The sequence below is a fragment of the Homo sapiens genome, chromosome 11 (genome assembly GCF_000001405.40).
Source record: "Homo sapiens chromosome 11, GRCh38.p14 Primary Assembly".
NCBI lineage: Eukaryota > Metazoa > Chordata > Mammalia > Primates > Hominidae > Homo > Homo sapiens.
In genome coordinates, this window is record NC_000011.10 from 34,841,805 (window position 1) to 34,854,956 (window position 13,152).

Sequence of the window (13,152 nt, forward strand, 5' to 3'; positions counted from 1 at the left end):
GCAATGGGTAGAAACACACACACACACACACACACACACACACACACACACACACGCACATACACACACCCCAAAAACCTTTCTGGTCACTCCATTAATTTTTCAGTCACATTCTTCTTGTCTTTTCTCCTGCCTCAGCCTGGCTCCCACTTCTGCCTCCTCCCCTGTTCTCAGGTTCTCTATGTAGAATGTTCTGATTTCACCAGAAGACTTTTTTTGCCATGGTCCTGAAACTCCATTTTGCTTGCATTCATTGGAAGCCAAATGAATGTTGTACTTCTTGGAGTTCTGCTGAGATGTTGGGGGGCTGAAAGCCAGCGTCTTGGGTGAGTGAGGTCTTCATAGAGACTTCAGGTTTAAGTAAGACTGAGCCCATCTGCTGCTTCCATCCTTCCCAAACCTGGTTCCCAAGCAGCACTGGTGTCAGTCTAGCCCATTGAGGAGCTTTGCCTCCCATTGGCTCCCAGATTTTAGTTGCCGGGACACCTGAAGGAGAAGAAGGGTGTTGGTCCTCAATTCCCTCCAGCCTCATGTTGCCGTGGCCTTTATCCACGCCTCCGTGCTGGGTCCCAGCCTCTTGATTTCCCTTTCTCCTCTTACTCCAGGCCTGTCTCCCCCATCCCCAGAAACAGTGTAACCTATGCTTAGAAAATTAAGTTTTACAGGTTTCAGTCAGGGGCAGGAATTTCTAAGGGTGGGATTTTAATATCAGTGTTCGAGTTGATTCTCCCAGCATTTCTTGGGGTGGGAACCCCCCTAGCACCCCTGAAATCATACAAGCCTGTTAAGACAGTGGAGCTATATAGACCTGGGTAAATAACTCTATGCTCACACAAACCTGAGTTCAAATATGGGCTCTGCTACTTCCTGGCTTGGTGACTTCAGCCAAGGAGCTGAAACTCTCTGAGCCTCTGTATTCTTGTCTATAAAGCAGGGATAATAGTGCCATGGTGTAAAGCACTTGGCGTGGATACTATTATTATAACACTCCTTGCTCGTTTGTAGACACCGCTTGCTCATACATTGATTTTTTTGTTTTTTATTTTTTGAGACAGAGTCTCACTCTGTTGCCCAGGCTGGAGTGCAGTGGTGCGATCTCAGCTCACTGCAAGCTCCACCTCCTGGGTTCATGCCATTCTCCTGCCTCAGCTTTCCGAGTAGCTGGGACTACAGGCGCCCGCCACCGCACCCGGCTACTTTTTTGTATTTTTTAGTAGAGATGGGTTTTCGCCGTCTTATCCAGGATGGTCTTCGTCTCCTGACCTTGTGATCTGCCCACTTCGGCCTCCCAAAGTGCTGGGATTACAGGTGTGAGCCACCACGCCCAGCCACGTTGATTCATTTGACACAATTTTGTTAAGAGCAAAGTCTTTTTATAATTTAAAGCATATCATGGAGTAATCAAATTTCCTCCTTAAAATAAAATTTTAAAATGTTCAATCTTTTCTATTCTCTTTGGAAGTAATACCTTAATACATTGTACATGCACAGCAGAGAGTAAGCTTTATTTCAATAGATCTGCCCACTCTACTTCAATTTAAGGCAATATGTTGTGGGATGAATTGCTTAGGCTGGAAAGTTTCATCCAATTTGTAACCTCCTTTCCTCAAACAAATTATAGTTCCTCTCCTCTGGGTCAATTTTACTCAAGTGCTACAACCACTAATGATTTCCAGAGAGAGCTATTGTAATTACTTTAAATCACATTGTTTTTGCCATGGTTGTACATACTAATTTCCAGTAGTCCCCCAAACACACATCTGAAATTCATAACTACATGGATTTTTTCCATCTTTTTCTATTTATCAATTAAAAATAGATTACAAAGGCAGCAAGCACAAGTTATTAAGAGGGAAACCACTGCATTTTTAAGAATTACTATTATTCGAGTCAGTAGCATTTTTCCAGTGCCAGCAATGCAGCCTCCTCTCTATTGTAATGTAGCTGCTGTGTTCCCCCTCTCATTAAACTTCAGCTAAGGAGAGGCATGGCTTTATTATTAAGGCACCTAGTTCCATGTTTTCTTCTATGTGGTAGGAATTGTTACATTAAAACATAAAGGAAAAAAAACACCCTCAATTGTAACAAAATCTGTTTTCTTGGAAACAGTTTTTACAATTTTGCAAAGGGATGACTTTGTTACTTTATAAAACAACTTCCCAGTGCAAAAGCTATTAGCCCAAACAAACCAATGTTTCTACTGCTAAAATGGTTACGATTAAAAATGAGCAAAAATCCAGCACAAGTCCTGACGTTCTGAGGCTCTGACACAATTCAAAGGAAGTAATCTCCAGCAATAACAATAAAAATCAAGACCATCTTGTGCAATGGAATGAAGCAGAGTTGATGTACCATGAAGTGATGAGGCCATCATAAGCCAATGGCTCCACAAACATCTCTGAGGCAGGAGAGCTCAGTGGCATATATATCTATATATCTATATCTATATCTATATCTATATCTATATCTATATCTATATCTATATCTATATCTATATCTATATCTATATCTATATCTATCTATCTATCTATCTATCTATCTATCTATCTATCTATCTATATATATATCTTCCCTTCGTTCTCTCCTCTTATTCCCTTACTTGGACTCATAAACTTCTTTAAGACATCATGTACCTCGTCTGGAAGCAACTGGGATTTTAGGAGATAAGTGGGGCATAAGTTCAGAGATAGTGGCTTCAAGCAAATATCCCAGGCAGGAGTCAGGGGACCCTCTCAATCTTGCTGGTGATCTCTGCAGTGAGCACCACAAAGTCCTGCTAGTAGCCTTCAAATTCAGGCAACAGGGAAGCTCCAGACTGACTGGCCCGGGCCAGAGCCTAGGTTGGGGCGGTGGCTAAGCAGGGTGGAGTACCTGAGAGACATCCTCAAGAGCTGAGCTCATTTGACAAATATTGACTGGCTACTGTGTGTCAGATGCTTTACAGACCCTAAGTGTGACCAAAACATTCTCTGGGGGTCCCTGGAACTCTTTCAAGGGGTCCACACGGTCAGAATTATTTTTGTAACAGCAAGCCCCTATCTGTTTTGTTCACTCTTATTCTGTCGTGAGTATACAGTGAAGTCTTATAGAAGCTACATGATATGTGATGACATCATTGTTCTAACAACATGTGTGCTTCTGTATTCCTGTTTTAAATTTCCTTATTTTAATTTTGAATACAGTAAATATTGGTAGATACAACTCACACCAACAAAAATTCTTTGAGATACTCAGTAATTTTAAAGAGCGTAAAGGGATCCTAAGAGCAAGATGTCTGAGAACCCTTGGTTTAATGCTATGCTTTGGTTACAGTTTGTTTCCACCAAATCTCTTGTGGCAGTATTGGGAAGTGGAGTCTAGTGGGAGATGTTTAGGTCATAGGGGCTGACCCCTCATGAAAAGATTAATGTCCTCCCTTGGGGGTAAGTGAGTTCTCACTCTATTAGTTCCCAGGAGAGCTGGTTGTTATAAAGAGCCTGGCACCTCCCGCTTCTCTCTCTCTTGCTTCTTCCCTCACCAGGTGATCTCTGAACAGGCTGGCTCCTCTTCACCTTCCACTATGAATGGAAGCATCCTGAGGCCTTCACCAGCTACAGATACCCAATCTTGAATTTTTCAGCCATAAGAATCATCAGCCAAATAAATGCTTTTTCTTTATGAATTACCCAGCCTCAGGAATTCCTTTATAGCAACACAAAAAGACTAAGATATTCGGTGTACAGTAAATTTTTTTTCCAGTCTTTGGCATATGACTGTGTTTAATCGTAAAAATTTGAGATCATATTATAGGTATACTTTGTATTTGTATAAACAACTGTGATAACATTTCTATGAGCCAGACACTGCTCCAAGTACTTTCTCTTAGCAACCCCTTGAGATAGAAATTATTGTAATCTCCATTTTAAAAAATTAATTAATGTTAATTGCCTTGTTCAGGGTTACACAACTAGGGAAGGACAGAGTTGGAATTTAAGCCAAGGCAACTTCAAGGCATAGTATTTCAACATCTGGACCACATGTTCCAGAATTTATGTACTCATTCTATAATTTTTGGGCATTTAAGTTTTTAATTTTTCACCAATATAAAATAACACTATCTGAATGTCCCTGAATATACAGCTTTGTTGGGATCATGGATTATTTCTTTGTAATCAGTTCTTAGGAATGGAATTATTGGGTTGAGGACATATCAATTCTTTTCTGAATTGTGATATACATCTCCAAATTATCTTCCAAAATGTATACTCCCGTGCATACTTCCACCCCAAATGCTTGATGCTTGTGTCAATTAATCCTCAGAGGTATTTTTGCAAACACAAAGAAAATAGAAAAGTGCCTCCTAGGCATTTTGAAAATCTCTAGAGAAGTCAAATACCATTTTAAAAATATTTATAAACACATATTTCTCTTAGTGCAAATTGTTTGCTCCTTTTTAAGATTTTTATTTAATGAGATTGATCTGATTTGTATGCACACATTCATGAGCTTATGCATAAAAGTGAGTTTTGCCCACAGCAGAGTGATCACTTAGACACTTAATCTAATGATAATACCATTCGATAAAAGTATGTGGAACTCCTTTATGGGACTTACACGCAAAATAGTTTATAAACCACATAAGAAAAGAGGAAAGTCTTTGTATAAAGCATTGTTATCACCTTTAAAAAATGTTATTTGTATTTAAGAAAAACACATAACAATATTATATTGTTCATTAATCTTATTTGCCAGGTTGGATCCAAATAACTTTTTGGCTGTCTGCTAATATCGAGTCTACTCTTAAGGGACTAGGAGTTATCATTACAGAAGTTATCTGTAGTGGACACTGTGGCTGCCTGGCTTGTTCACTCATCCCCCAGGGGCTATGAGTAAAGTCTACTAATGACCTGCAGCTGTCCTTCTTCATAGACTTCTCTGCTGAACAAGGGTGTCTGCCCACTAGGTTCTTACCCCCCGAGAGCAGCCAGTAGCCAATGACTGACACAGGGACACAAAAGGCTGACATCTTTGCCTCAAGCGTGCCTAACTATGTGCTGCAATTTGTGCTCCAGAGCTTTCTATTAGACCAGACTGATGAGGGTCTTCAGCTGAGACCACATCCTTACTTAGCTTTTTTTTCCCTTGCTCTATTCTGCTTCCCTTACTTCCAATCTGCTGAGAACACTTTTCCAATAAATTTTACAAGAATCTCCACCTCAAGCTCTGCTTTTGGGGAGACCTACCTAAGACAGTTGGTGCCAATAGTGGTCATAGGAAATGGACTCTAAGGTATGGGATCCTGGGGGTGGATCACTCACTGGCTGGATGACAGTGAGGACCCCTCCTGGCAGTAGATAGAGTATTGATACTCTCTGGCATGCTGTACATTAGCTAAGAACTTCACTCTGGTAATCTGAGGAAGAATGCAGGTAGAAGGGAATGCACTGCTTAGTACAATGTCTCTGGCATTTGAGAGGTATGGAGCAAATAGAAAATTTAGGACTGTGGAACTAGGGGACTGGTGTTAAGTGCCATTGATTCATTGAAAAGAGAAAATGCAAAGCTCAAATGTATTAATCATCAATTTTAAACAGAGAGCCCCTTTGATGACACTTACAGACACTCATCTCCTGCAGCCAGACAGTGGACAGAGCTGAAGGGCAAGCAGATTGCTTTTCTAATAGTAAGGAAAGCAGAGCTTCAAAACAGGTTGAATTCTCAGCTTAGGCAAATATCTTATGCCAATGTCAAGAGCCTGATAGGAAAAGAGTGGGGCCCTAAGACTTAGGATACAGATATTGGGGGTGGTGCACTTGAGAACCTTAGAACCCCCACATTTCAGATTTCTCCAAACCTTCTTGGCAGGCATAAATGGCCCACTCCCCCTGTTGGAAGATAGAGCCCCCATCCATTTTCTAGATAAGACTAAGACCTCAAATAAGGCAGGTGCTTTATAATGTCTTATCTTCTTAGGATCAGCCATCACATTCTCTTCTGGACACAAGACTTAAGGTCAAGTCTCACCAAGTACTAGAGAGGTACCAGGCCTGCAAGGGGAGGAGAGAAATTATATGCCAAAGGAGGTGCAGGAATGGGTTAATATATGCCAGCAGGAGCTGGATGAGTAGGCCTAGAAGTGGATCATGAGGATGCTGGATGAAGGTGGGAAGATAAGGGAACGTTTGTCAAGGTAGGGTTAAGGACCTCAGGAAAGATGCCTAATATACTGATGGGGTGGTTGTTAGTAGCTTAGAAAAAGTGATTTGTTGCAATAAATGAGATAGAGATGCTAGATTGCCTGGAAGACTGAGAAGGAAGGGATTGAAAGTTTCAGAGAACTGAGCATGCTAGAATGGGTCAACTATATAATACTGGAAAACTCACCAGCTATGTTCCACTAGTTACCAAGGTGAAAAGGAATGCACTGGGAGTGGCTGAGGGTGGATACCAGGACTACTGAGAAGTGCTATAGAGGCTTTATCTTTAGGCTGGGGCTGACAGTAGAAGATGCTATTCCAGAACCAGCCTCCCTGGAGTCAATGAGAATAATTGGGCCTGGAATAGCAGAGGCCAGGTGGTAACTCTCAACCATCAGAAGCAAGGTGGATATAATTACTGTAACAGGCAGCAATATTGAAATGACACCCAAGGAGGCCTGACCTATACATATCAATGAAAGTGGCTAATGGGTCATATTATTCCTAGGGGCAAGATAGATTGTAGCTAATAATATTCACTTAAAGTGTAAAATCAAATGAGATTAAGAATAGATGAACAGAACGCTGAGGTCAGCCATCCCAATGGAAAACAGGATCTCTTGCCCAGTTTCTAGACCTAAGTCAGTTCTCAGATCCAAAACCCACTGACTGCAGAAAGGTTGGATCCCCATGATATGGTCTGGCCGTCTCCACAGCCAAATCTCATCTTGAATTGCAGCTAATTCCCACGTGTTGTGGGAGGAACCCAGTGGGAGATAATTGAATCATGGGCGTGGTTTCTTCCATTCTGTTCTCGTGGTAGTGAATAAGTCTCATGAGATCTGACGGTTTTATAAGCGGAAACTCCTTTCACTTGGCTCTCACTTCTCTCTTGCCTGCCACCATACAAGATGTGCCTTTGCTCCTCTTTTGCCTTCTGCCATTGGTCGTGAGGTCTCCCCAGCCGTGTGGAAATGTGAGTCCATTAAACGCTTATTTCTTTATAAATTACCCAGTCTCGAGCATGTCCTTATTAGCAGTGTGAGAATGGACTAATACAGTTGCCACATGAAAAGACACTGCAGCATCATAACAAGTATATACCATAGTGATTCAGCAAGTCCTTCCCCAAAGGGACCCATGTCTAGACACTAAGGAAAAGGAATACCCAGTTCTTTCAGATGCTATTAGATCAGGTCAGAGATGATCCTGTTACATGAGAACCCAAAGTGCTTTCATGACCGCTTTTAGGGTAGGGGCTTATGCAAGTCAGGTAACAAGTGGAATTCTGACCCAGGTTTGTCTCACAGTTGATAAACAGAGGCCATGGATCTGCCCAGTGATCATGACCCCAGCTCCCAAATGTGTAAGTGAAATGAACATTCTTAGCAGTTGGTAGAACACTTACTTTGGTTCTTCGACCTGTAAAGTAAAAGCAATTGTGGTATGAAAGGCCGTGTGAAAATCCCCAAAACTTCACCCTTTGGTCAAGATAGGATACGAAACTGCTTGGCATCCTAGAGGGGATGGCATATTGGTGCTACTCTTGAAGACATAAAGGATGTAGGAGTGGTGGGATCTGCAATATCCTCATTTAATATATCAGCCTGGCCCCTAAAAAAAACTGGATCATAGGGGAAAACAACGTACTGCTATAAACATAACCAAGTAATTCCCCCAATTGCAGATTAACATGTCCTCATATCCATAATATTAAGCTATTACCTGGCAAATATTTTAAATGCCCATCAGAAATAAGGATCAGAAGCAGTTGATGTGCATATGCAATGTTTTGCTTCAGGGCTATGTTTGTTTCCTGCCTTCTCTATCATGAAATAGTCCAAAGAGACCTAGACCAACGGATGATTATGCAGAACTTTACATTGGCCCACTATATTTGATGTCATCATGTTAACCAAGCCAGATGAGAAGTGGAAAATTATCTGAATGCCTTGGCAGGATACATATGCTTCAAGGGATAGCATTTGTACAGAAAAACACTAAAAAGATTCAGGGGTTCACTACATTAGTAAAGTTTTTAGGGGTTTAGTGATCTGAACACGCTGGGTTATGGGTTATTCTGTGCATGCTGGGTTATCCTATCTAAAAAGTTTTTGTGCTTTACACCTTACACAAATAAGAAAAAAGCGCAATGCTTGACAGGCATCTCTGGGATTAGGAGGTAGCATACTCCATACTGGAATACTGATCTTTGTATGGGGTGACACAGAAGAATCCTAGATTGAGTGGGGTCTGGAACACTTCTCCAGTAAATCTCTTAAACTGCAATTTCCATCTCAGGCTCTGCTTCTAGGGAACCTGACCTGAGGCAGATGCTTCAGAAGAGACCAGGTTGTTTAGAGCCAGGAGACAGGACACCTGGGTCTTAGTTCTATTGTGTTTTTTCTGTCCGAACGACCGAGGCATGTTATTTTGCTCTCCAGGCTTCCATGTTCTTATTTGTAAAATGTAGGGCTTGTGTTGCTTCAGCATTTCTTAACTTTCTTCCATCAGATAACAGACATGACAGATAAGATTTATATACATGACACACTCCCAAGGGTGTGTCCCTCTGCACCCATAAGAGCAGGTTATATGCAGTTCCCAGCAGGCTGGCTATAACTCCACCCCTCTTTCCCACTCAGGAAACGATATTGGAGTGTAGAGTGATAAAAGTGAAACCACAGGGTATGGACAACCTTGAATATTTTCTAGTTTGCTTTTTAAAACATCATTTGCAATCTATCATACTTCAATGTGTTTTTAAAAATCATTTTAACAAAGCTCACTATGGGTGTTTCTTGACAACATAGTTCAGAACAAGTGTTAAAAATACTCATTAAGATTACTTTCTGTCTCCAAAGTTGAGATTCTGAAAATAAGTCCCCACAAATTGAGTTCTGAAATCTTTGCATGCCAGTGCCCCTGTGATACCTTAAACAAGAACACTCCTTTGTATATAGAAGTTTGATAAGCTGAATATGTATCTGATAAGAACTTCTTTCAATTACCTCCTGTTTACTGATTGCCTACTTTTGCACTATTTGTAAGATTCCAGAATTCTAAAATGTGCTTACTTGATTCAAATTTAGTGTCTTCATAGAGGCATTTCAAGAAGTTCACATTAATGAGTGTCAAAAGAGAAAAGGATTCTGTAGTCAAAGAAGTTTGGATCAATTAAGGTTAATCAGATATCTTTGCTGCAGAACTTAAGTCCTTTAATCTAATTTGTTAAGATGCTTTGGGAATCTCCAGAAGATAAATTTAGTCTGTGATGTTTCCCCAAGATTTTGAACATGAAACCCCATGGAATAAATGCTCAAGGAACATACTTTAGAAAAATAAGAGCTTTACAGCAATATTAGCTTTCAGTGGTTCCCAAGTAGTTTGAGATAATTCTGCAGTGATACCATCCATGCTGGCTTTCCAACCAAGAGAAGTATGCTCCTGAGTGATATACAGTGTTGCCTACTCAATATGTCTTACTCCCTTTCCCATCCACTGTCCAGATTCCCCAAAAGCAAACAGTAACTCCACTCTAGAAAGTATATTGCTACCCTTCTCAGGTACTGACAGGCTTTTTGTGAGAAAGTGAACCAGAGGTCAAAAGATCCAGTTCTGTCCCAGAATAAGACCACACACCTACAACTATCTGATTTTTTGACAAACCTGACAAAAACAAGGAATGGGGAAAGGATTCCCTAATCAATAAATGGTGCTGGGATATCTGGTTAGCCACACACAGAAACTGGACCCCTTCCCTATACAATATACAAAATTAACTCAAGACAGATTAAAGACTTAAATGTAAAACCCAAAACTATAAAACCCTGGAAGACAACCTAGGCAATAAAGGACATAGACACAGGCAAAGATTTCATAATGAATACACTAAAGACAATTGCAACAAAAGCAAAAATTGACAAATGGGATTTAAACTGAAGAGATTCTGCACAGAAAAAAATAAAAATAAAAAAACTATCAACAGAGTATACAGACAAGTGACAGAATGGGGAAAAAAATTTGCAAACTATGCATGTGGCAAAGGTCTAATATCCAGCATCTGTAAGGAACTTAAATTTCCAAGAAAAAACCAAACAACTTCATTAAAAAGTGGGCAAAAGACATGAACAGACACTTTTCAAAAGAAGACACACATGTGGCTAACAATCAAATGAAAAAAAGTCCAACTGATCATTAGAGAAATGCAGATCAAAACCACAAGGAGATACCATCTCACACCTGTCAGAATGGCTGTTATTAAAAAAGTCAAAAAATATTAATAACAGATGCTGGTGAGGGTGTGGAGAAAAAGGAACACTTGAACACTGTTGGTGGGAGTGTCAATTAGTTCAACCATTGTGGAAGATGGTGTGGCAATTCCTCAAAAACCTAAAGACAGAAATTCCATTCAACCCAGCAATCCCATTACTGGGTATATACCCAAAGGAAAATAAATCATTCTATTATAAAGACACATGCACACGTATGTTTATTGCAGCATTATTCACAATAGCAAAGACATGGAGTCAACGTAAATGCCCAACAATGGCAGACTGGGTAAAGAAAATGTGGTATGTATATACCATGTAACACTATGCAGTCATAAAAAACAATGAAATCATGTCCTTTGCAGGGACATAGATGGAGCTGGGGCCATTATCCTTAGCAAACTAACACAGGAACAGAAAACCAAATACCACATGTTCTTACTTATAAGTGGGAACTAAATGATGAGAACACATGCACACATAGTGGGGAACAACACACACTGGGTCTCTTGGAGGGTGGAGAGTGGGAGGAGGGAGAGCATCAGGAAAAACAACTAATGGATACTAGGCTTAATACCTAGGTGATGAAATAGTCAGTACAACAAATCCCCATGACACAAATTTACCTATGTTATAAATCTGCACATGTACCCCTGAACTTAAAATAAAAGTTAAACAAAACAAAAAACCCCAAACATCTAGTTCTGCACCTTGGTCTGGCACTAAGTAGCAAGGTGATCAGGGATGGGAGACTAAGAATTATATTAATGAAAAGCAATATTTAAAATAAAAATAGTTGTGTTTGTGAAACGTGATGATGTTTTTAAAATATTGTTCAGAGATTTTTTTTTTTTTTTTTGAGACAGGCTGATCTCAAACTCCTGGCCTCAAGTGATCCTCCCACTTCAGCCTCCCAAACTGTTGGAATTACAAGCATGAGCCACGGTACCTGACCTAGGGATGTATTTTTTAAAATAAAGTCAAGCAACTGCCACATTTCCAGGTACATAGGCTATGAGCATCTTGAAGATGAGAACCTGGAAAGTAATATTGTCCCATTTATTAAACATTCTATGCCTGAAATACGCTAAGTATTTTTCTTTTTCTTTCCTTTTCTTTTTTTTTTTTTGAGATGGAGTCTCGCTTTGTCACCCAGGCTGGAGTGCAATGGCGTGATCTCGGCTCACTGCAACCTCTGACTCCTGGGTTCAAGCGATTCTCCTGGCTTAGCCTCATGAGTAGCTGGGATTACAGGCGCACACCACCACGCCTGGCTAATTTTTGTATTTTCAGTAGAGACGGGTTTCACCATGTTGGTCAGGCTGGTCTTGAACTCCTGACCTCATGATCCACCCGCCTCGGCCTCCCAAAGTGCTGAATTATTTTTCATTCAGATCTTTGCTCATATGCCACCTTGTCAAAGAGGGCTTTCCTAACTATCTTACTATCTTTTCTCAAATACTTTCCCTGCCATCCCTCTCCATCCCTAATCAGATTTATGCTTTATAGACTGTATCACCGCCCAACATTTTATTCTATTGTATTCCTGCTTATTGTCTATCTCCCTAACTGAAACTTAAGCTCCATGAAGACAGATATTTTGTATGTTTTGTTCTATGTTGTATCCCTAACACCTAGAATAGTACTTGGAACATTACAGATCCTCAATAAGGTATTTATACAAGGAAGTAATCAATGAATGATCTTGTAGAATTCTAACCACAATCCTATGAGCTAAGTCTGTTACTGTCTTCATTTGGTAATCAAGGAGACCAGGCTACAAAGAGATTATGTCACTTGCTCAAGGAGATAGTATGAAGGAGTAGAGCCTGTATTGAGATCCAGGTCTGACTTCACAGCTTCAGCCACGAGGCCATACAGCCTTTAATGAATACATCTTTGCTTCTCAGAGGTGGTATCTGTGCTCCCCCCAGGAAGGGGGCTCATTAAAGTGTAGATTATTGGGGTTTACCTGATATAGTGAAACAGAATGGGTGGAGGGAGAGTAAATGGTAAGGAAAGGGATGAGGTGAAAAGAAAAGAATCATCTGTCGCAGATATCAATTCCCAAATGGATGAGTCTGGCTCCTTGACTCCTGTCTAAACCCTCCCAGAGAGAAAGAGATGCAGAAGCAGCTGTTTTCACAGCAGACCCCATGAGATCTGGAATGCTTTGATGCCCAGGTAGGAAGATAAATGTCAGTTTGGCTCCTTTTGAGTTACTGGCTCTGAGACTACCAAGAGACACAGCTCTGGCTGATACCAGAATTATTATGAAGGACATAGAGGGACTCTCAGGTATCAGACTTCAACACAGAGGCTGGAGTGCAAAACAACAGGGCTGTGTGCAAATGCCTATAAAACATCACCTGGGACTCCCAGAAAGCCTTGGAAAGTGGGCAGAATTTGCCAGAATCTGAGTTTCCATGTTTAAGTGTGGGCAAGTGCTAGCTACTGACATTAGAATTATTATTGTGATTGTGATTTCATTAATAGCCACAAATATTATTTTTCCTCTTTCAAGGTCTCTGTTTTCTTTGTGTGGTTGGATCTGGGGCGGTTCTGCTCCCTTGGGCCAAGCTGGTCTACTGGGCTATCCCCCTCATGTGAGCCAGAAGGGCAAGGCCAAGGTGCCATATTAATCTTTTCTTCTCAGGGACTATCTATATTTCTCTGGTGGTTTTAAACAGAAAACACACACACAG

General features: G+C 40.7%; 1 long non-coding RNA gene across 1 annotated transcript in view; it reads left to right on the forward strand.

Annotated features, from left to right (window-relative positions):
• The window catches only part of LOC102723568 (uncharacterized), a 185,086-nt gene that overhangs the window by 149,211 nt on the left and 22,723 nt on the right, over positions 1-13,152 (forward strand). The window lies entirely within an intron of this gene.